The sequence below is a fragment of the Homo sapiens genome, chromosome 12, assembly GCF_000001405.40.
Source record: "Homo sapiens chromosome 12, GRCh38.p14 Primary Assembly".
In the NCBI taxonomy this organism is placed as follows: domain Eukaryota; kingdom Metazoa; phylum Chordata; class Mammalia; order Primates; family Hominidae; genus Homo; species Homo sapiens.
In genome coordinates, this window is record NC_000012.12 from 129,013,079 (window position 1) to 129,038,719 (window position 25,641).

The 25,641-nt window shown below is 46.8% G+C and overlaps 1 long non-coding RNA gene and 1 pseudogene across 1 annotated transcript; both read left to right on the forward strand.

Moving 5' to 3' along the window:
• On the forward strand, positions 206 to 4,083 carry NLRP9P1 (NLR family pyrin domain containing 9 pseudogene 1; annotated as a pseudogene).
• Positions 8,615 to 15,948, forward strand: LOC105370073 (uncharacterized). Its single transcript, XR_945538.3, has 3 exons — positions 8,615 to 8,871; positions 14,225 to 14,395; positions 15,689 to 15,948. It is a non-coding gene; the product is annotated as an uncharacterized LOC105370073 (long non-coding RNA).
• Positions 15,949 to 25,641: the final 9,693 nt, after the last annotated feature.

Here is a 25,641-nt window from a genome sequence, read left to right on the forward strand (position 1 = left end):
TTTCCTAGTGCAAAACTTGAACTCACCGAAAAGTACACCAATAAGTGAATAGTTAAATAAAACAGTCTATAAACATACTGTGAAGTGCCATATGCCAGTTAAAATAGCATAAATTAGGATAAGTACCAGCTGGAAGGACCAGGAGCTGGATTGGGTATCATTTATTCTTTATTTTTCAGGATCTTTCTTTTCCCTCTGGAGATATCTGAGCTCACAATCTGGGACAATATGGCAGAATCCTTTTTTTTTTTTTTTTTGTCAGATTTTGGCTTGTTTTGGTAGCTGAAGCAGCTCAGAAACGAAGAGTTTTTGGAGATTTAAGGAGCTCCTCAAATAAGAACCTTTGAAATTGGAACTCAAGTGAATCACCTGGACTGAGCTTCCAAAGAAGATGTAGCAAAGCTGTTGGACAAACATTATCCATGAAAACAGGCATGGGAGGTGACACTGAACCTATTTCTTCAGATCAATAGGAAAGATCTCTGGATGAAGCCTCAGGAAGAGATAAGAAATAAGCTAAACCCATATAGAAAGCATATGAAAGAAAAATTTCAACTTGTATGGGAAAAGGAAACCTGTCTTCATGTCCCTGAGCATTTCTACAAAGAAACCATGAAAAATGAGTCAAAGTATTGAATGATGCATATACTGCTGAGGCTAGACTATTCACTGTGGTCCTGGAGGGTTCTGATGAAATTGGAAAAACAGCCCTTTTAAGAAAAGTGATGGGCCAGGCGCAGTGGCTCACGCCTGTAATCCCAGCACTTTGGGAGGCCAAGGCGGGCGGATCACCTGAGGTCAGGAGTTCAAGACCAGCCTGGCCAACAGGGTGAAACCCCGTCTCCACTAAAAATACAAAAATTAGCTGGGCGTGCTGGTGCATGCCTATATTTCCAACTACTTGGGAGGCTGAGGCAGGAGAATCACTCGAACCTGGGAGGTGGAGGTTGCACTGAGCTGAGATCGCACCACTGCACTGCAGCCTGGGCGACAAAACAAGACTCAGTCTCAAAAAAAAAAAAAAAAAAAAAAAAAAAGAAAAAAAAAGTGATGTTGGACTGGGCAGAGGGAAACTTATGGAAGGATAGATTTACATTTGTTTTTTTCCTTAATGTCTATGAAACGAACGGTATCACAGAGACCAGCTTACTGGAGCTCCTCTCTAGGGACTGGCCTGAGTCTCCAGAGAACATCAAAGACATTTTTTTCCCCAGCCAGAGCAAATTCTGTTCATCATGGATGGCTTTGAGCAACTGAAGTTTGACTTGGAACTTAAGGCTGACTTGTGTGATGACTGGAGGCAGCAGCAGCCAACACAAATTATCCTGAGCAGTTTGTTGCAAAAAAAGATGATTCCAGAATCCTCTCTGCTTATTGCATTAGGAAAAGTGGGTATGCAAAAAAACTATTTTATGTTGTAGCATCCAAAACTCATAAAGCTCCCAGGATTCACTGAACTTGAAAGGAAGCTGTATTTCTCCTACTTCTTCAGCGAGAAGAATAAAGCCTTGAAGGCCTTCCATTTTGTGAGAGATACTGGACAGCGGTTTATCTTGTGCCATAATCCCTTTATATGCTGGTTGGTCTGTACTTGTATGAAATGGCAGCTAGAAAGGGGAGAAGACCTTGAAATAAACTCCCAAAACACCTTCATTCATTTGTTAAAAATGAATGCATCATTTTTAACAAATGTATTTAAAGCAGGAAGTCAGAGTTTTCCACCTAAGGTGAACAGAGCCCGACTAAAAAGCCTGTGTGCTTTGGCTGCAGAGGGAATTTGGACACATGCATTTGTATTTTGCCATGGGATCTCTGGAGGAATGGGTTATCTGAGTCTGAGGGCTTAATGTGGGTGGGTATGAAACTTCTCCAAAGGTGAGGTGAGTGTTTTACCTTCATCCATGTATGTATCCAAGAGTTTTGTGCCACCATGTTTTATTTGCTCAAACGACCCAAAGATGATCCTAACCCAACCATTGGAAGCATAACCCAGCTTGTAAGAGCAAGTGTGGCTCAGCCTCAAACCCACTCGACCCAGGTGGGGGTATTCGTGTTTGGAATTTCAACAGAAGAAATCATCAGCTTGCTGGAGACATCCTTTGGTTTTCCACTGTTAAAAGACCTAAAGAAGGAAATAACCCAGTGCCTTAAAAGTTTAAGTCAATGAGAAGCTGATAGGGAAGTGATAGGTTTCCAGGAATTATTCCATGATTTATTTGCAACTCAGGAAAAAGAATTTGTAACAGAAGTGATAAATTTCTTTGAAGAAGTTTTCATTTGTACTGGTAACATAGAACATTTGGTAGTATCTTCATTCTGCCGGAAGCATTGTCAAAATTTAACTACACTTCGCATGTGTGTAGAGAATATTTTCCAGATTTCTCAGGATGCATCTCAGATCACAATGCGAAGCTCATCTACTGGCGGGAGCTTTGCTTAATGTTCAGTACCAACAAGAACTTCCAGATGATAGACATGGAAAACAGTAGCCTCGGTGATGCCTCCCTGGCAATTCTTGGCAAAGCGCTGGCTCAGCCTGTTGTAAGCCCCAAAAACCCAAATTTACTTTTATGTCTAACTTTGGAAATGATTCAGAATTATTTAAGGCAGTTCTTCACGACCCTCATCTGAAACTTCTGAGCCTGTATGGCACTAGCCTCTCCCATACTGATGTCAGCCACCTGTGTGAGACATTGAAGCACACAACATGCAAGATAGAAGAGCTGATGCTGGGAACATGTGACATCTCCGATGAAGGTTGTGAAGACATCGCCTCTGTCCTGGCCTGCAACAGCAAGCTGATACATCTCTCCTTGGTAGAAAATCCCGAAAAGGACAAAAGAATGATGTTGCTGTGCCCTGGAGACGCTGATGTTGATGTACTGCTGTCTCATCTGTGTCTCCTGTGAAGACATTTCCCACGTCCTTTTCTGCAGTAAATCCCTGTCCCTCCTTGACCTGGGGTCAAATTTCCTGGAAGATAATGAAGTGGCATCTCTGTGTGAAGCACTGAAGCACTAAGACTGAAACATACAGGAGTTGTTGTTGATGGACTGTTTCCTTACTTCCGTTTCCTATAGGGACATTGCTGCTGTTCTTATTTGCAATGAAACACTGAAGACCCTGAAACTTGGGCATGATGAAATACGAGGCGCTGGTGTCAAACAGTTATGTGATGCTTTGAAGCACCCTCACTGTAGATGAGAGTGTCTTGCACTGCAAACATAGCCGATCACCCGTGCCTGCTGTGAAGACCTTGCTGTGGCACTCACTGCCTGCAAAACATGGAGGAGCCTGAACTTCGACTGGGTTGGTTACCTTGGATGCTGATGTGGTGGTGGTGCTGTGTGAGGCTTTGAGCCACCCGGACTGTGCACTGTGGATGCTTGGTGTCACTGTAGCTGAAAGGAAACTTAACCATCTTCCCTACATCGGAAGATTTAAGGCTGCACAAATCTGCCTTTGATGAAAAAAAAAAAAAAAACTCAGAAGAGGCTGATGTCTGTGGAAGAAAAAATTCCCCACCTGACCAATTCACACGAACCTTGGACCAATGAGGAATACAAGATCAGGGGTGTGCTCCTCTGATGGGGAGCACCCTGAAGTAGTCTTCTCACAAAGGCTTTCCTTGGTCACAATGGGCTCTTCTCCTCCTGGCACCTCTGTCCTGTAATTGCACGTCATGGCAGCAGGTCTGTGATTTCAGGGCTACTCCCTGACGGTGTTCTAGCAATATGATTATAGAGAGTGATTCAGTGTGTATGTGCTGGCTGTCTTTGCCTCGGTTCTTTATTCCCTTATCTTTAGAAATCCCATCCTACCTTGCAATATTTGGAAGAACAAGTACATTAAATTAGTGCTAAATGCTCTGGAAAGCTTGGCTTTATTTTTTTAATGGATGTCTTGGTGTGTATGAGCATGCATTTGCAGGCATCGCAATTCTCTGATACTTCTGACGTAGAAGTGATGATAGAATGAATGTGTCTATAGTTTGTATTGCTAGCACCCAAACTTTCTGTTTCCAGTTTGTCCAGATTTAGATTTGATCAGTTTTCTTGTCCAATTAAAAAAAGCATTCCCAAATCTCTTATTCTTTCATATATGACACTCCAATAGATTTTTTCTAAAAATTCAGTATTACTCAAATGTATCTACACTGTTTATGTATATTTTAAAAGACAATATTAAACACCTCACTGCCATAACTTTTTTTAAAAAAACCAAATAACATAAAGTAGACCTATATGTGCTAACATAGAATTCCATGACATACTGTTGTATAAAAAGTCTCTAGTAGTGGCCTGGCGCCATGGATCACACCTGTAATCCCAATACTTTGGGAGGCTGAGGTGGGCAGATAGCGTGAGCCTTGAAGTTCGAGACCAGCCTGGACAATATACAGAGACACTGTCTCTACAAAAATACTAAAATTAGCCCGGCATGGTGGCATGCGCCTCTAACCCAAGCTACTCAGGAGGCTGAGGTGGGAGGATCACCTGAGCCTGGGAGGTCAAGGTTACCGTGAGCCAAGATCCTGCCACTGTACTCCAGCCTTGGTGACAGAGCAAGACCCTGTCTCAAAAAAAAAAAATCACCAACAGGTATATTTAGTATATTATCATTTATGTTAATTCCCTCTTCTTTATGTAGGTTCCATATAAATTTATAGGAAAGGAAAGCACCAAGTAGTTAGCAGTAGTTACGTGATAAGGCTCAAGCATTCTTTGTTCATCCCTAAACCTGAATCCTGAAACCCCCCAATCCTCATACCCACCCACAGCCCTGGGACTGTGTTATCAATGTTGTCCTAGTGATACAGAATGGCTCCCAACTAAACTCCACCCTCAAACCTGGACCCTCCACCCTGAGTAAAAACAGCTGACCCTGATACAGAAGGGCTGGGCTCCCAGCTAAACTCCACCCTCAAGCTGGAACCCTCCATCCTAAGCGAAAACAGCTGATCCTGATACAGAAGGGCTGGGCTCCCAGCTAAACTCCACCCTCAAGCTGACCCTCCATCCTAAGCGAAAACAGCTGATCCTGATACAGAAGGGCTGGGCTCCCAGCTAAACTCCACCCTCAAGCTGGAACCCTCCATCCTAAGCGAAAACAGCTGATCCTGATACAGAAGGGCTGGGCTCCCAGCTAAACTCCACCCTCAAGCTGGAACCCTCCATCCTAAGCGAAAACAGCTGATCCTGATACAGAAGGGCTGGGCTCCCAGCTAAACTCCACCCTCAAGCTGGAACCCTCCATCCTAAGCGAAAACAGCTGATCCTGATACAGAAGGGCTGGGCTCCCAGCTAAACTCCACCCACAAGTCTGGACACACGGCCCTAAGTGAAAGCAGCTGACCCCATTCCAAATGATTGCCTTTTTGGCTCACCCTGCCCCCTGTCCTGTGTACCTAAAAGCCAGACCAGGTGGCAGGAAAAAAAGAAGAGAACAACACAAGCTGCTGATGGGCCGGGATACAAGCGGCTGAGTGGGGAGCTGAGAAACAGCAACTGAGCGCAGGAGAACTTCAGATGGTGCAGCTTTGGAGGCGAGCTCAGCCAGAGACGGCTGGGCTTCAGGGAAAGATCACCTTCTTCCTGCACCATCTCCTTTCCAGCTCCCCTTCCATCGAGAGTCACTTCCACTGTTCAATAAAGCCTTACACATTCATTGTCTTTCAAACAGTTCATGTGACTTGGTTCTTCCTGGACACCCAACAAAAACTGTGTCAAAAAGGGCAGGTGCAGGAGTCTGTCATCCTAACTCTTCACTGAGCTGTTAACACTTAGCTGTCCACAGACTGCAGGCTGAGTGAAATGTACCACTCCGGGAGGGGGTCAAGGTCAAGGGAAAAATCCTGTCTCCACAGAGTCTTCAACCTGCTCCCCAAGGGTCCCTGATTCTGGAGTACACTCCATTGGGAAGTTTCCTCCTGACACTGAATAGGGCTGACCTGTGTCACTAATAGGGTATTATATATAGTGTGTGACATCCAGGGCCACACACACACTCTCTCTCCTCTCTCTCTCTCTCTTGCATCACTTGCTCTGGGGGAAACCAGCTGCCACGTTGAAAGGACCCTCAAGCAGCCCAGTGGAGAGACCCATGTGATGGAGAGCTGAGACTTTCTGCCCACAGCCAGGAACAGAGGCCTCCTTCCAGCAGCCTGTGAGTGACCCACCTTAGAAGTGGCTCCCAAGCCCCATCTGAACCAATAGTGCAGCCCTGGCCAACATCTTGATGGCAACCATGAGGAGCCCTGAGCTGGACCAATGGCTACGCCAGTACCAATTTTTGAGCTACAGCAACTGTGTGCCATAATAAGTGTTTGTTGTTTCAGGCTGCTAAGCTTTGGAATAACTTGTTGTGTGGATGCATCAGTTATCTACTGCTGTGTAACAAATTACCCCCAAACATAGCAGCTGAACACAACTAACATTCAGTATCTCACAGATTCTGTAGGTAAGAGGCCTGGGAGCAGCTTAGTCAAGTTGCTCTGGCTCAGGGCCTCTCATGTTGCTGGCCAGGGGTGAAGTCATCTCAAGGCTTGATGTGGAGAGGGTTGGCTTCCAAGCTTTTTCACGTGGCTGTCAATGAGCCTCAGGCCTCTGTCACCTGGGCCTCTCCGTGGAGCTCTTTTGTGATGTGGCTCCTGACTCCCTCTAGAACAAGCAATGACAGAGAGAGAGAGAGAGCACACCTGTCACCTGTAGGAGCACGTTCAGGCTACCATACCAAGACACCATTGACTGTGTGGCTTACACAATAGGAAATCTATTTTCTCCCAGTTCTGGAAGCTAGAAGTCTAAGATCAAGGTCCCAGAGTGTTGGTGTCTAGTGAGGATTCTCCTCCTGGCTTGTAGATAGCAGCCTTCTCTCTGTGTCCTCACCTAGTAAAGAGAGAGAGAAAGCTCTGGTGTTGCCTTCTTTCTTTCTTTCTTTTTGTAAATAGGGTCTTGCTCTGTTCCCCAGGCTGGAGTGCACTGGCACAATCATGGCTCACTGCAGCCTCAACCTCCAAGGCTCAAGCAATCCTCTGGCCTCAGCCTTCCAAGTAGTCGGGACTACAGGTGTACACCAGCATGCCTGGCTAATTTTTCTTTTTTCTTTTTTTTGGTAGAATTGGGGTTTCACTGTGTTGCCCAGGCTGCTCTCCAACTCTTGGGCTCATGCGATTCTCCCACCTTGGCCTCCAAAAATGCTGGGATTACAAGCATGAGCCACTGCACCCAGCCATAATTATTTAAAAAGTATTTTAAACAGATGGGGGCTCACTATGTTGCCCAGCCTGGTCTCCAACTCCTGAGCTCAAGTAATCATCCCACCTTAACTTCTCAAAGCATTGGGATTACAGAAGTAAGCCACAGTGCCTGGCTTCTCTTCTTATAAGGACACAATCCTATCAGATTATAGGTCTACCCTTATGACCTCATTGAACCTTAATGAGCTCTGTAAAGGTCCTATTTCCAAATGCATTCACATTGGGAGTTAGGAGTTTAACATATAAATTGTAAAGGGACACATTTCACCTTGCATTGCTACCCAAGGTGGGAGTTACAGCCTTTTTATGACCTAACCTTGGAAGTGACATTTCATCACATATGACATGTTCCATTTATTAGAAGTGAGTAAGTCCAGCTCACGTGTGAGGAGAGGGGATTACACAAGAGCATGAATGCCAGGAGGCAGGCATTGGTGGGGGCATCATAGAGGCTGCCTACTACGTTAGCAGATAACCAGCAGAAATGGCACAAAACATCTTTCTGTAGTCAACTTCATTTCAGTCTTTTAGAAGCATTCAAAAATGTACCGCAGTTTAGAAAATAGCAGTTCTTTCTTTTTAAATTTAATCCCTGTAATAAACAATATATTCAAATGTACAAAAATAATACCTTCCCCTTCCTCTCTTCACCCCCAAAGAGGCCATTACATCTCTTCATTATTTGTGTATTATTACATGGTATCTTTATGTGAACACATGCAAATACAATGTGTATTCTTGTTTTCCACACTTTTTAACATAAATAGTTGCCTGCTGTAATACTGTATTGCAACTTGCTTTTTTTCATTGAAATGTATATCTTTCTACATCAGTACAGTTTTCTCGTTCCTCTTTTTCAGATGTGGTGCATTGCATTATTTATTCTGATGGATAGTATAATGTAATTTATTCAATCAGTCTCCTACCAATAGACATATGAGTTACTTTCAATCTTTTTCTATTACACAAAAAAGCTGCAATGAATATTCTTATGCACAGGCATTCTCACATGTACAAGTATTTGGGTGGGATAAGTTTACAGACATATGATAGCTGGGTCAAATGTATTTGTACTTGTAATTTTAATGGATATTCCCAAATTAACCCATATGGTGCTTGCATTGGTTCACATTTTCACCAGCTGTGTGTGAGAGACCTTGGGTCCCCACAGCCTCGACAATGCAGTGTGTTACTATGCTTTGGGATTTGTTCCAATCTCCTAGGTTAAAAAAATGGTATCTCAATATACTTTTATACTTGTGATATTATGAAGTCAGGTTGGACTCTTTTTTCATATGTTTAAGAGCAATTTTTTTTTCCTTTCTGTGTACTGTCTATTCATGTGAAAATGACATTTCCAAGTTTCTGTGTTTTTTTCATACTAGGTCGTTAACTAGAGTATCTTAGCCTTCATCTTTAACTCAAATACTGCGGCCCTCAAGACTACCCCCAGGCTCAATGACTTCCTAGAAGGCCCATGATTCAGCAAAGTGGTTATGCTCACAACAACAGTTTATTACGGCGAAAGCATGCAGATTGAACCCAGCATATGGAAGCAGTGCACAGGGTGGGCCCAGGAGAGTTCCAGTTGTCCTCTCCCGCTGGAGTCACAGGTACTGCACTTACTACCCCCAGCCATGAAGCATGGCAACACACCCAGACTCCCGCCGGCCAGTGAAGCCCGCCCCCCCCCTCCCCGCCTTGGTGGGCAGAGTTCTGACTGGGTGATGGTCCTGTAGACTCACCTGATCACCCTCATGACTGACCTTATTCTCCAGCCCCTACAGAGGTTGAGCAGATAACTGCATTGTCTAAGAACCCCACCATGGATCACATTGACTAATGTGGGCAAAAGGTCCCAGGTAAACAAAGGTGCTCTTGTCAGGCAGGACATCCCAAGGACTTAGAGGCTGGCTGGTCAGGAGCCAAGCCTTTCTTGGGGCAAGGTTAGCCTCTACTGCACAATCCCCACCCACTTAGATTCTGTGCATGCTTCAAGACCCAGCCAAAAACCCAAAAACCCACCTCATTCATGCAGCCTTCTTCAACATCCTCAATGAGCATGAGTAAGAATTAATTTCTGAATTTCTATGCTCCCAAAGCACTTCCATAACCCTCTGCGACAGATATTAGCCTTGCATACTGAGATGTTGTGAAGCAGCCCTTGTTGATATCGCCCTTTAGGTGTTTTTCATTATCAAAAAAAGTACACCCATCCCACTTTCAATTCCAAATATCTCATCATTCTCTGGTCTCCTCTTCTCACCTGTGTAGCTCACTGGCCCCCGTTCTTCAAATCCTTCAGGTCTTTTATTGCACCTGGATCTGTACTCCGTTGCTCCTACTTCCTTCTCACGTTTCACTACTCTCGGGGAGGAAAGGTTGACCTCCAATCAGAACACACACAGTTCATCTTCACCTCTCTCTGTGCTGAGCTTAGACACTGTGTTCCGCGGTAATCATCGAAGTCTTGTCTATACCCTCAGTGCTCTGGGCTCTCTCTTCATCTGTTAGATTCACTTGCAAAAACAGCAATTCCAGGTAAATCCAACTGCATCTACATCGCCCCTGCATGCAGGCAGCTGAAAGTAACCGGGGAAACACCCGCTCATGCCCACTGGCCTCGCTTAAATCTTCTTACCGTGAATTTCAGTGGATCCTCAGTGCAGTCTAGAAACCGCTTTATAGCTCCCAAAGCCATTTGCTTCCTGTTCACCGAGTACAATAGAAGTAGTAAGAGAAGAATTTTGTGAGCTCTCAGAGCCATATCTCAACCTACAGATAGGTTCCATCCCGTTACAATGGATGAATGGTTTGTGCTCTGATTTGACGTCAACCTTCTCCTTGGTCAGTGCATCCCATCTATCAACTAACTACGTGAGGACATTCACATTCCAGAAGTAGTTCTCTTGTCCCCTTGCAATATTATGTTTCTTCTCACCACTTGATCAGCCCTGCAATATCTTATAATATCTCTAATTTTTAAGAAAACTGCTATCCCACCTTTTCTCTTTCCTCCCCCTTCTTTATTTTAGCAACACCCATTAGAAAAACTGTCCACAGTATTTTCCTCTCTTCACTCTTGTTAAGCTACTCTTTTACTCCCAGCACTCAAGAAAAGAAGTTCCTGTTCAGATGACCAGTGATCTCAGTGTTGCTGAACTTCATGTTCAATTCTCTGTCGTCATCTTGATCTGCCTTTAATCAGCATACAGCACCATTTATCGTTTCTTGCTTCCTGAATCAACTTCTTCCTTTGGGGACCCCACTCCCTCCTGTTTCTTACCTCCCTCCACTAGCACCTCCTTCCCCATCTCCTGGGCAAGTTCTTTCTCGTTTTTCAATTCCTTAGGTCTTTTTTTTCTCCTCTCCTCTCTTCCTTCTCTTTAAATACAATCCACAGGCTGATGACTCTCTAGTCTATGTATCTGGCCTGGACATCTACCTCGGACTCAAGATTTTCACATGCAGTATCTTTTTGGATATCCCTCCTCGTATATCTAGCATAGATCTCACTTTAACATGCTTAAGGCAGAACTCATGAGTTAGTGCGCTCACACAGCCATCTTCCCCGTCTCCGTCAATGACAACTTCATTTATCCCGATGCTCCAGCTGAAGACCCTGGAGTCACCTGGACTCTTCCGCTTCCATCACGCCGCACAGTCAGTCCATCAGCAAACCCTTCCCCACAGTCAGTCCATAAGCAAACCCTTCTGGCTCTGTCAGCCTCTGAGGACTTCTCACCACCCTCATCTCTGGGGATTATTGCACTGATTTTCTACCTGTTCTCCCTTGATCCACTCTTGCCCTGCTCCAGATAAATCTACTAAAAACAAGTCAGATTATGGCACTCTTCTGCCCCAAACCTCCCCGAATTATTGCGATGGTCTGCTACCTGGTCTCTCCTCTTCCGTCTTTGACTCTCTCTCATGTATTTGTTGCAGAGCAGCCAGATTGTTTCTTTTAGGACATCTGCCAGATTGTGCCTCTCCTGTCTTCAGAATCGTCTGATTACTCCCATATCACTTAGAGGGAAAGTCAAACTCGCCCTACCCCATTCTTGGTCCCTGTCTGCTCTCTAATGTCACTTCCCACTGTGTCCTCCTGCCCACCCAGCTCATCACTCTTGCTTCAAACACTCTTTCCTGTGATTCTTTGTGTCTTTCTGCATCATTTCCTTCAGATATCTTCTCAAATACCCCTCTCTGACTACCACGTAAATAAGAGCACCCCTGCTGCAGGCATTCTGCTCGCCTTACTTATTTTGCTTTATAACACTTATCACTCACACCCACACACACTCACACCCACACACATCCACATGCTCACACCCACACACACTCACCCCCACACCCCCACACACATTCACACCTGCACCCACACCTCACACACAGACTCACACACCCACACACACATCCGCACCTCCACACATAGGCTCACATCCCCCCACACCTCCACACTTACACCTACACACCCACACACACTCACCCCGATACACTCACACACCCACACATCCGCATCCCCACACACACTCACCTCCACACCCCCCACATAGACTCACACCCACATGCTCACACCCCCACACGCACTCACCCCACACCCCCACACACATTCACACACGCACCTCACACACAGACTCACACACCCACACACATATCCACACCCCCATACAGACTCACATCCCCCCACACCCCCACACTTACACCTACACACCCACACACACTCACCCCATACACTCACACACCCACACATCCACATCCCCACACACACACCTCCACATCCCCCACAGACTCACACCCATGCACTCACACCCACATGCTCACACCCACACACACACTCACCCCACACCCCCACATACATTCACACCTGCACCCACACACCCACACCTCACATACAGACTCACACACCCACTCACACATCCACAACCCCACACAGACTCACATCTCCCCACACCCCCACACTTACACCTACACACCCAACACACCCCATATACTCACACTCACACCCACACATCTGCATCCCCAGACTCACATCCCCCCACACCCCCACACTTACACCAACACGCCCACACACACTCACCCCCACACGCACACACACATTCACACCCGCACCCACACCCACACCTCACACACAGACTCACACACCCACACACACATCCACAGCCCCACACACAGACTCACTTCCCCCCACCCCCACACTTACACCTACACACCCACACACACCCCCATACACTCACACACATCCGCATCCCCACACACAGACTCACACACCCGCACACACAACTCACGTACACATCCCTTGTATTTGTCTCTCTCCATTAGCATGTAAGTTCCAAGAGAGAAGAGACTTTATATACATATATAGTCTTTTTTTTTTTTTTTGAGATGGAGTTTCGCCCTTGTTGCCCAAGCTGGAGTCCAACTGCACAATCTCAGCTCACTGCACCCTCTGCCTCCCGGGTTTAAGAGATTCTTGTGTCTCAGCCTCCAGAGGAGCTGGGATTACAGGCACCCGCCGCAACGGCCGGCTAATTTTTTGTATTTTTAGTAGAGATGAGGTTTCGCCATGTTGGCCAGGCTGGTCTTGAACTCCTGGCCTCAGGCAGTCTGCCCACCTCGGCCTCCCAAAGTGCTGCAATTACAGACGTGAGCCACCGTGCCCGGCCCAAGACTTTATATTTTTCCCATCACTTTCTTCCTAGCAACCTGAATGGTACGTGGCATGTGGCAGTGTTCAGAACATATTTGTTAAACAAACCAATGTGCTTTATGTTCTTCTTGGGTGTTCTTCAAATTCTTTAAAGGCCCTTTCTTCTCCCTAAGACAGTCAGACTTTTGAAAGAGACTGGCCACTCTAAGGGCAGCAGATGATCAATTCTTGTACACAAGGCCAATGGTACAAGAAAGCAGCAGAGGCACCTTAGCAGGCCAAGCTTTCTCTGCCCCTGTTCTGTGCCCAAGGCAGCATGGCTGGGGGAGGAGCTGGCCTAGAAGCATCCTGTACACAGGAGCCAGATGGTGACCACGAACACCCTCCGTGGCAGAGCCCGGGAGCCAGGGACAGCTGGGTCAGGGTTTGCTTTTCTTCTCACCCTTCCAGTGAGGGCCGCTGACCGAGAGATGGTGGTGAGACTCCTCAGCGTGAGCAGTGCCCCAGACAGGCTCAGATGACTTGCAAGATCACCCGATGTGAGGGCTCAAGACACTTGGAGGAGTTGTGGTGTGAAAAGAAAGCTTCCCATTCTTGGCTAAAGGGGGATTAGGAGAAAACTGAATTCCAACAGGTGTATGAAAAGGTGCTGAACCTCACTAATCATCAGGGAAATGCAAATCAACAGCAGAGTGAGATGCCACCTCACGCCTGTTAGGTGGCTCATATGGTTTGGCTCCGTGTCCCCACCCAAATCTCACCTCCAGTTGTAATCTCCATAATCCCCACGTGTCAAGGGAGGAGCCTGGTGGGAGGTGATTGGATCATGGGGGCCTTTTCCCCCATGCTGTTCTCATGGCAGTGAGGGAGTTCTCGCGAGATCTCATGGTTTCATAAACGGCAGTTTCCCGTGGGCTTCTCTCACTCTCCCCTGCTGTCTTGTAAAGAAGGTTCCTTGCTTTCCCTTCGCCTTCCGCCATGAGTGTAAGTTTCCTGAGGCCTCCCCAGCCATGCGGAACTGTGAGTCCATGAAACCTCCTTGTTTATAAATTACCCAGTCTCAAGTAGTATCTTCATTGCAGTGTGAAAATGGGCTAATACAGTGGCCACTGGTATTAAAACTGTATTAAAACGATGAAAGGTGTGTTGGCAAGGATGGGGGAAAAGGGAACACTTACACATTGTTGGTGAGAATGCAAACTGGTAAATTTGTACAGCCTTGATGAAAAATGGTATGGAGGTTCCTCAAAAAATAAAAAAAAGAAATAGAACTCCCATATGATTCAGCAATTCCACTTCTGGGTATGTATCCACAGGAAATGAGATCAGTGTATTGAAGAGACATCTGTACGCCCAAGTTCACTGCAGCACTATTCACAGCAGCCATGCCATGGAATCAACTCAAGTGTCCACCAGTGGATGCATGGAGAAAGAAAATGTGGCATCTGTATACACACACGGGAGTATTATTCAGCCTTAAAGAGAAGGTAATGATGGTAATGATGCCATTTGGGATAACGTGGATGAACCTGGAGGACATTATGCTAAGTGAAATACGCCTGACACAGAAAGACAAACATGGCGTGATCTCACCCATAGGTGGACTCTAAAGTAGTCAAACTCATAGAAACAGAGCAGAAGGGTGGTGACCAAGAGTCAGGGGTGAGGGAAATGGGGAGATGTTGTTCAAAGGATACAAACTTACAGTCATAAGACGAATAAGTTCTGGAGACCTAATGTGCTGTGTGCTGATAGAGTTAATAGTATTTGGGAAGAGAATAACTCTCAAGCGTTTTGACCACACAGAAGGTAACTATGTGAAGGGATGGGTATGTTAACTAGCTTGGTTGTGACAATCATCTCACAGTGTATACATATTTCAAAACCTCACGCTAGACACATTTGAATATATAATATTTTTATTTGTCAATTATGCCTCCATAGAGCTGGAAAAAAAAAAGAAAAAAAAAAAACCCTGCTGTACTTCCTTCTCAGGAGACCAAATAGGCAAACACAGCCCCTTTGGGTAGGATTATGTCAGTTAAACATGGCCTTGCTGCCCCGAACTGGTGTGTGGACTTCTGGGGCTGAGACTGAGCCCATCTGACAATCTTTGTATACAGTGGCTGCCCATGAGTCTCTATCTCTGTGCCTTGCACCAAGTTGGTGCCCAGTGAATGCCTGATAAACTGCGAGCACCCACAGTGTTTGCTAAATACGTGAAGAGACATATGGTGTGTAGGCTGGTCCAGGTTAGAGGAGTATCTCGATTAGGGCACCTCGGGGGATTCTCCAATGGCTCAACTAAAGACACCTGGAATTTAGTCGGGGCAGCCCTGGGTCAGGGCCACGGTGTTAGGCAAAGTTGACTGCTGTAAATAGCACCTCAACACAGCTTATGTCCTACTCATATAATAGTGCCACTGTGTTGGGGAGCTCCTTCCACACGGTGATTCAGGGACCCAGGTCCTTTCCATCCTGGGACTCTGACCTCCTGTGTGGCTTCTTCATTCAGCTGGCAGATGGTGCAAGGGAGGGATCAGGTCGAGAAGGTGCTTATAAGCCAGGTCTTCATTCAACCATGAATTCACTCCCACTCACATTCCACTGGTGAAACCTCAGCCATTTGGCTTTGCCTAACTACAGGGGGGACTGAGAAATCCTGTTGAGCTGCGTTCCCAAGAGGAAAGGAAGTTGTTTTGGTGGATACCTCGCAGCTTCAGCCACAGCAGTGGAACGAAGCAGGTGCCTCTCCTTACCCCCTATCCACTCCCTGTTAGGTAGGATCCAGGTCGGCTAAGCATGCTGGCTTCAACAGCAGGGATGTGAGGTGAGGGAGGACAGCGATGCAGGAGGAATGGAGATGCGTCTAACACGGGGTCAGACGGCAGATTCGAGGGCTCCCTGATGAATGAGCAAACGCTGGCTCCAGCATATTTACTGCGTCACCTGTAAGTGCATTCCTTGCTGTGCAAACTTGCTAAGTATTTTTAGTAAGGCCAAAAGTTCCCCTAAGCACCGTAATTATCTCGGTTGGAGATGTCAGGAGAGTTTACCGTTAAAGAAGGAGGCGGCCGCTGCAAGCGTGATCATAAGGTACACTCAGTGCTGCTTTTATGGCTGCGGAACAGAACATTCCCGCAGCCGCCTTTACATATGGATAGGGGACTCAAGTGTCCTTTGGGGAGCTGTGGAAGGGTAATTTCTCTTCAGTAGACCAGGGTAAGTTATTCTGACCCACACGGCTCACACCTCAGGAGGCAGGAAAATAAATCAGCACTCTGAAAATCTTCCCTCATTAGGCCAGGCTCTGATGAGACCCCGTGGGTCGTGCTGGTCTGAAGGCAGCAAGCAGGCTGGCTTCCACAGAAATAGAATCAGCCTCATGTGAGAGCTTTCTTGGAATTGGGGGCAGTGTGAGGGGAACAGACCCTGGGAGCTTGGATCTTCTCAGGAAAGGAAAAGTCATTTTTAAAAAAGTGGGCTCATGGCCAGGCATGGTGGCTTATGCCTGTAATCCCAGAACTTTGGGAGGCTGAAGCGGGAGTTTGAGCACAGGAGTTTGAGACCAGCCTGGGCAACATAGTAAGACCGCATCTTTACAGAAAAAATTATAAAAATTAGCAGGTGTGGTGGTGGGTACCTGTGGTCCTAGCTACTCTAGAGGTTGAGGTGGGAGGATCGCTTGAGCCTGGGAGGTTGAGGCTGCAGTGAGCTATGACCAGACCAATGTACTCCAAGCCTGGGTGACAGAGCAAGACCCTGTCTCAAAAAATAATAATAAAATACCAAATGGGCTCAGAGAGAGGTGATCAAGTGTGATGCTCAACAAAGTATATTTGGGATGTAGATTCCCCCCAGTCGAGGTCAGGCATCACCAATGACCGGCTTTGTGATCTTGGGCAGAATTCTTAACCTCTCTGTGCCTTAGTTACCTGCATGGAGAAAGGAGGTGATAAGTCCATATCAGTCAATTTAGTTTTATTTGTGCTGCAGAAACATAGGACCCCCCCCCCCCACCCCCGCCCCACACCATCTCGGTGACTCATCAGAGATTTGTTTCAGGGCCACATTTCGTGTCTATTGTGATATCACATCTTGTTCATTCTGTGAACTGTGTTAACAGAACAGCTCTTGCCTGGGGTGTTGCTGGTCTTATGGGAGAAGAAAAAGAAGGGAAGTGAGGGATCTTTTCATGGCACTTAAAACTCCTGGGAGCAGCAAAAAAGTCACTTCTGTTCCCATTCCAGTGGACTGAGCAAGTCATATGGCTGTGTCAATGTGGGCGGGGCAGTCATGTACGATTCTCCTGTAGGGACTGTTGTTAAGGAAGGAACAGGAGTGAATATTTTAAACAACTGCACAGTCTATCCCAGGTCCACAGTCATTCATTGAAAACCTTGGTGCTCAATTGAGCTTTAAGATTTAGAAATTTAGGCAAGGCGTGGTGGCTCACGCCTGTAATCCCAGCACTTTGCGAGGCCTAGGTGGGCAGATCACGAGGTCAGGAGTTTGAGACCAGCCTGGCCAATATGGTGAAACCCCGTCTCTACTAAAAATACAAAAATTAGCCGGGTGTGGTAGCAGGTGCCTGTAATCCCAGCTACTCAGGAGGCTGAGGCAGGCGAATCACTTGAAACTGGAAGGTGGAGGTTGCAGTGAGCTGAGATTGCGCCACTACACTCCAGCGTGGGTGACAGAGAGAAACTCCGTCTCAAAAAAAAAAAAAAAGATTTAGAAATTTTAAGTTTTATGCACATACACACGCACACACACACAATCTCTATTCATCTATCTTTCTACACATAGATGGATACATAGTATATTAATTTATAGTATCATACTCAGGATTACCTCCAATCTGAGGTAGAACCCTATAATATAAAAACAATATTTCTGTAGTAAAACATGTAAGACAGCAACAGTAAGTGTGCTACAAAAGCATTTTATATAGTTTTGCATTATTCCAGCAAGTTTTCCCACCAAATATTTTGATGCAAACCTATGAAAAAAATTTTGAATTTGAGAGTGATTTTTTTTTTCAAAAAAATTTCAGAATTGTGGATAAGATATTGCAGATCTGTTAGGATGATAAAAATACTGTATAAAAGCCCTTACTGCAACTCTGGCATGTAGCAGGAACTCAGTAAATATCGATATTAATTTTTAAGAGGTAGAAGAGTTTGGAACATCCCCTTAGCAAAATCAACGACAGGTGAAAAGATGATTGAAGTAAGACAATGATGGTCTACAGAACACCATATCCAAAACCCAGGATGTCCTCAGCTTGACGTGCTCCCTGCCCTTAGAGAAAGTATGATGTCTCTATTTTTCTTTTCCTCTGAACAAGGATAGATGAATTCATCGAATTTGTCTCTACTTTACTCTGGGGTTCTTCTAAATTATTAGTTGTTCAGCAAAGCCCTTTCATCATTGCTGGAAAATTGTATCCTCCTTTGGATCTGGGGGCCTCCACTGAGGCTTTCCCTTTCTGCTGCCTTTCTCGGCCCCCAAGGTGACCTTCCCAGTCCTCCGTGCCATGTTTCTAAGGCTTGCTGAGCAATGACAGCCAACTGTATCAAGCTGTTTCAAAAATACTGGCCTAAAGCCGCTCTTCCCTGGAAGGACATTTGCATTCACATAGGACCAGAAGCACCTGAACTTAAAGGAATTTCTAAAGCAGAAATGGCTGGCCTCCAGCTACCTAGATGGAGGGAAGGATCATTTGAGTCTGAGGACTCCCTAAGGTCAGAAAGCTACCTTGGGAGAACATTTGATCGTCAATCAGATCTCTCAGCTTTGCACGAAGACACATTTGCAGCCCACCACCAATGCCGCCCCCTCAGCCCTGGTCAGTGGCCCGGCTTGCAGCTGCTTTGCCAGGGAACCCTAGGGAAACTGAGAGAGAGGCGATTCTTCACAGCCCCTTTGTCCTACTAACAACCAGAAAATCCACTCAAAGGTCACCTTTGTTTTTGAAAGATGTGACATTTTTTCAGCTAGTTAATGACACACTGGGGAATTGCAGTGTGTAGGTCTGTGGTGCTTGGTTCTGGAAAGACACATGGCTCATATTTGAGTTTCAGACTTTGGGGAAATTAGTAGGATTTTTCACTGCACACGCTCAGTCCTCAGTTTGCCTCTGTGAGTCTCAGCTTGTAACATCTGCGTGTCAGTCAGCCCTTTCCGCAGGCAGCTCCCGGGTGGACAGCTGGGTGTTCTGCTTTCCTGTAGGAATTTTTGTTAAGGTAACGTGCTCTCTCTGGATGCACCTTGCAGACACAGTGCTCATATTCTTCCTCTGCAAAGACCCTTCTCAGCTGGTCTCTTCTTGCTGCCCCTCGACAGTGCATGCCCCCAGCACTCAGAGTGACCTGCAAAGGTTGCAGACAAGGTCCTGCCAACCAAGAGCTTCTTGCTGCACTTAGAATAACATTCCAGCTGCTGCTGCTTTTTTTTTTTCTTTTGAGATGGTGTCTCGCCCCGGCTGGAGTGCAGTGGCACAATCAGCTCACTGCAACCTCCGTCTCCTGGGTTCAAGCGATTCTTGTGCCTCAGCCTCCCGCGTAGCTGGGATTACAGTTGCCTGCCACCATGCCCGGCTAATTTTTAAAATCTTTAATACGGACAGGGCTTCACCATATTGGCCAGGCTGGTCTCGAACTCCTGATCTCAAGTGATCCATTCACCTTGGCCTCCCAAAGTCCTGGGATTACAGGAGTGAGCCACTGCACCCAGCTGTGTTCCAGTTTCTATCACAGCCGCCAGGCCCTCTGCATGTGTCCCTGCCCATGGCTTCTGTCTCATCTCCCAGCATGGCCCTCCCTGCCCTCTCCTCCAGCCTCACTGGCCTCCCCAGACATGCTGCCCCTGGACCTAGCACTCCTGACTTCCTTCAACAACCTGCATCCCTCTGCTCACAAGGCTGGCTCAAATGTGCGTCCTCCATGCAGACCTTCATCAACTGCCTGTCCCCAGCAGCCACCAGCCCCAGGACTTTTTCCATAGAGCCACTCATCAGTTTTGAGATGACCTTGTTTATTTACACCCCTTTTCATTGTTTGCCCTCACTCCGCCCCTTACAATGGTGATTTCCCCAGAAGCCTCAGCCTCACGTGCTCCTAGTTTCAATCTCTAAAGAAAGGTTCTCTCTTCCTAGAATTCCCATGAAATGTCTAAGGATTGAGCCTTGTTGGCTGACAGAGTTGTGTGCTTATCCCTGAACCAATCACTGTGGCTGTTTAGATTCTATCTTCTGCTTGGACAGGTAGGAGCCACACCTCCCCTCCGGGTGGTGATTTAGGGATCCCATGCAAGAAGGGGGGTTTCCCAAAGGAAGTCCAGGGTGCTGCTACCAAGAGAAGGGGCAATACTGGGTTCGCTGCTGGATCTTGCACCGTGAGTGCTGCTGGGCCCGTCGTAGGTGCTCAAGAGATTTGAAAGAATGAATAAATGAATAAGCACTCACAGGGTTGCTAGAGAATTGAATGAGATGGCTCATGCAACGTTCTCAGCAAGGCTTTCATGTGAAGCTGGTGTCCCATGAGCATGGACTATCATTATTAAGAGGGTTTACTGGGAGGTAGTGCCTGCAAGCTGGTAGCCTCTGGGTCAAATCTGAGCCACAGACCAATTTGGTTAGGATTTCAGAATGTTCTAAAAAATGGAACCAACATGAAAACATTGGAGGGGTTTATGTTAAATCCTGATTTCTAGATAGTTTTCCATAGGCCTGCTATCCTTCAAAATCAGAAATATGTCAACGCCAGCCTCACCTTTTAGATGACCACCACTGGCTCGTGCCGAGTGGCACCTGCTCTTATCTGATGGCAGTATGTCTCCAGCTCACGGCAGCCCCCACACCTGTCAGTACTTTTTTTTTCTTGCCCAGGCTGGAGTGCAGTGGCACTGGGCTCCAGCAGTCTTTTCACCTTGGCCTCCCAAAGGGCTGGGATTAAAGGTGTGAGCCACCACTCTCAGCCTTTTCACTACTTTTTATCTGGCCCTGGTAGCATCTGAGTTTGTATGATGGATGGAGATGTGCCGATCAGAGTAGGACCTTCGATTCTTTCTTTTTTCTTTTTTTTTTTTTTTGACAGGGCCTTTCTCTGTCTCCCAGGCTGGAGTGCAGTGGTGCAATCACGGCTCACTGCAGCCTCAACCTCTCAGGCTCAAGCGATCCTCCCACCTCAGCCTCCTGAATAGCTGGGACTGCAGGAATGCATACCACACCTGGCTAATTTTGTTTGTTTTGTAGAGAGGGGGTCTTGCTCTGTTGCCCAGGCTGGTTTGTAACTCCTGGGCTCCTTTGTCAGCCTCCCAAAGTGCTGGGATTACAGGCGTGAACCACTGTGCCCAGCCCCTTGATTCCTAAATGTTTCAGTTTCTGAAGCAGAGGCTGCCTTGGGGCATGGGGCCTGCAGTAAACCCAAACTCATTTTCTTGTTCCTCTGCAGCCACAGATATATTTTTGGACCCCACACAGCTCTCTATTCTGAGCTGTAGAGCAGTGTCCTTTGGGTTTCTTTCTGCTTGAAGCGGCCCCAGTGGGTCCATGGATGTGGTGACGGTGGGTAATGTTGGCCGGCTGCCTCCCCTCCAGGAAGCTGTCAGCCACCAGCTCTCTGCACCCAGCTTGCAAGCGAGATGAGTCCACTCTTCCCGTAAATCCTAGTCGCCTTCCAGCTCTCAGATGCCTGGAAGTCTCCCTGCCATAAGGAGGCAGCATCCCACCCTGACCTCCAGCGCTCCACGGTTAGCCTGGAGAAGGGTGGGGACAAATATGAGTCTACCTGCTAGACAGGAGGATGAACAAGAAGCTCTTGGGCACTGCTGTTCCCCATCAGCTATGACCAGGACTCGTCACCCCTCAAAGCAGCAAACAACAAAGAACTCCTCATCCCTAACTTCCAGCCCCTAGATCTCCCCCTAATTCCCCACCGTGCCCCACACATGTGGGCCAAGCCAGCCTCTAACAGCCGAATGATGGTTGTAGCCTTTCCGCGCACACGCAATTTACAGTTCCTGCAGGAACTCCGTGGAGAGCCCCTCTGAGCAGGAGTGGTCTGCAGAGCAATTAGGATGAAAAAGCGTCTGGGCTGCCGATGGCTATGAAGCTTTCTACCTTGTCACACAGGAGAATTTATGTTGCTGCAGGATGTAGCAACTGAATGGCTGGTGCAGGGCTCACCCTGTAACTCTTGGCTTGTTGCAAAGGCAGATAAATGTCTCCCTTTTCTGTGAAAAGCAGACAGGAATGAACAGCTCTAAACAGGCCTATTTTGGCCATGAGTCTTTTATGAAGGGCTAGTTATTATAATTAGCTGGTGTAATAGAAACCCTTAATGGAGGTGTATTCTTTGCAGATATAGTGGGATAAAAAACTGTTTTGTTTGTTTGTTTTGCTTTTCCCCGGAGTCCCATTCTGTCGCCCAGGCTGGAGTGCAGTGGCACGATCTCAGCTCACTGAAATCTCCGCCTCCCAGATTCAAGCAATTCTCCTGCCTCAGCCTCCCAAGTAGCTGGGACTACAGGCGCACACCACCACACCCAGCTAATTTTTTGCGTTTTCAGTAGAGACGGAGTTTCGCCATGCTGGCCAGACTGGTCTCAAACTCCTGACCTCATGATCTGCCTGCCTTGGCCTCTGAAAGTGCTGGGATTACAGGCGTGAGCCACCGTGCCTGGCCAGCACTGGTTTTCAGCAACTGTCTGTGGAGCTGCATTGAGTGCTGCTGGGAGAGGCAGTGTTCCCAGATTTTACTCTGAAATCGAGAGTGAAGGAAAGCACTTGCACAGTCAAAAAAATGGAAGTATGGCCGGGCGCGGTGGCTCACGCCTGTAATCCCAGCACTTTGGAAGGCCGAGGCGGGCGGATCACGAGGTCAGGAGATCGAGACCATCCCGGCTAAAACGGTGAAACCCCGTCTCTACTAAAAATACAAAAAATTAGCCGGGCGTAGTGGCGGGCGCCTGTAGTCCCAGCTACTCAGGAGGCTGAGGCAGGAGAATGGCGTGAACCCGGGAGGCGGAGCTTGCAGTGAGCCGAGATCCCGCCACTGCACTCCAGCCTGGGCGACAGAGCGAGACTCCGTCTCAAAAAAAAAAAAAAAAAAAATGGAAGTATGATTCGTCCTCCTTGATTTGCTACCCTGTCCCCAGACACTCCCCCTTCACACACAGACTTAATGGCAACAGACATGCACACGCGTGCACACACGCACACATACACCCTCTCGGCACCCGTCAGCACCAAGAAAACAACTCGTCAGTGAAATGTCTTTTGTGGCTACCAGGATGCAAAGTGCTAGACTGTTGCCTTAGTTTCAGATTTTCGTTTGCTCCATTTTCTTTGGAGTTTCAATATGACTCAGAGCCTGACAGCAGGACTTCTTACGTTTCTTCTGTTCCTCACCCCATATCACTCCCTTGACTACTCCTGGGCTTGTCCCTGTCTGTCATGGGTGGAATGTCATTCCCCCGAAAGTCATGTCCACCCAGAACCTCAGAATGGGATCTTACTTGAAAATAGGGTCTTTGCAGATTCACCAGTTAAGGGTCTAGAGATGATATCATCTTGGATTTAGTGTGGTCCCTATATCCAATGACTCAGTGTCCTTATAAGAGGAGAAGGCCAGGCACAGTGGCTCATGCCTGTAATCCCAGCACTTTGGGATGCCGAGATGGGCAGATCACTTGAGGTCAGGAGTTCGAGACCAGACTGGCCAACATGGAGACCAGACTGGCCAACATGGTGAAACCCCCAGCTCTACTAAAAATACAAAAATTAGCTGGGCATGGTGGTGCACGCCTGTAGTCCCAGCTACCTGGGAGGCTGAGGCAGGAGAATCACTTGAACCCGGGAGACAGAGGTTGCAGTGAGCTGAGATTGTGCCATTGCACTCAGCCTGGGTGACAGAGAAGGACTCTGTCAAAAAAAAAAAAAAAAAAGAAAAAGAAAGTCCGAAGGCCAAAGCCAGCAGGCCTAAGGATAAAAGAAGACACAGAGGGTTACCCAGGGAGAAGAGGGCCATGGGATGGCAGAGGTGGGGATTGGTGTGACGTGGCCACAAGCCAAGAATTCAGGGAGCCACCAGAAGCTGCAGGAGGGAAAGGCTCCCTCCTAGGCCCTTCAGAGGGATCACAGGGCTCTGCTGACGTCTGGGATTTGGACTTCTAGGCTCCACAACTATGAGGGAACACATTTCTGTTGTCTGTGCCATTTTGTTATGGCAACCCTAGGAAGCAAATATGCTGTCTGAGGAATAGAAGGAGCCTCGCTGGTGATTGGCTTGTCATCCTGGCCACGCCACCACCCTCCTTCACGTGACTGTGTGCCTCTAGGTGGTTCTAATCATGGTGTGAAGCTGGAAGGACTTGGCGTTTGTTGAATGAGTAAGCAAGATGGTGAATGATGAGAGGGGGGTGGCTGGAGGCCTGCTGCACAGGCCATTGTGCAAATGGGGCCACTGGCACTCTGCCTCCATGCCCATCTTTTGGGCTGAGAACAAACAGGGAGAATGAACCTTGCTGCTGGCAGACCCCTTTTTCTTTTCTTTTTTTTTTTTTTAAATTTTATTATTATTATACTTTAAGTTTCAGGGTACATGTGCACAATGTGCAGGTTTGTTACACATGTATACATGTGCCATGTTGGTGTGCTGCACCCATCAACTCGTCATTTAGCATTAGATATATCTCCTAATGCTATCCCTCCCCACTCCCCCTACCCCACAACAGTCCCCGGTGTGTGATGTTCCCCTTCCTGTGTCCATGTGTTCTCATTGTTCAATTCTCATCTATGAGTGAGAACATGTGCTGTTTGGTTTTTTGTCCTTGCAATAGTTTGCTGAGAATGATGGTTTCCAGCTTCATCCATGTCCCTACAAAGGACATGAACTCATCCTTTTTTATGGCTGCATAGTATTCCATGGTGTATATGTGCCACATTTTCTTAATCCAGTCTATCATTGTTGGACATTTCGGTTGGTTCCAAGTCTCTGCTATTGTGAATAGTGCCGCAATAAACATACATGTGCATGTGTCTTTATAGCAGCATGATTTACAATCCTTTGGGTATATACCCAGTAATGGGATGGCTGGGTCAAATGGTATTTCTAGTTCTAGATCCCTGAGGAATCGCCACACCGACTTCCACAATGGTTGAACTAGTTTACAGTCCCACCAACAGTGTAAAAGTGTTCCTATTTCTCCACATCCTCTCAGCACCTGTTGTTTCCTGACTTTTTAATGATCTCCATTCTAACTGTTGTGAGATGGTATCTCATTGTGGTTTTGATTTGCATTTCTCTGATGGCCAGTGATGATGAGCATTTTTTCATGTGTTTTTTGGCTGCATAAATGTCTTCTTCTGAGAAGTATCTGTTCATATCCTTTGCCCACTTTTTGATGGGGTTGTTTGTTTTTTTCTTGTAAATTTGTTTGAGTTCATTGTAGATTCTGGATATTAGCCCTTTGTCAGATGAGTAGGTTGCAAAAACTTTCTCCCATTCTGTAGGTTGCCTGTTCACTCTGATGGTGGTTTCTTTTGCTGTGCAGAAGCTCTTCAGTTTAATTAGATCCCATTTGTCAATTTTGGCTTTTGTTGCCATTGCTTTTGGTGTTTTAGACATGAAGTTCTTACCCATGCCTATGTCCTGAATGGTATTGCCTAGGTTTTCTTCTAGGGTTTTTATGGTTTTAGGTCTAACATGTAAGTCTTTAATCCATCTTG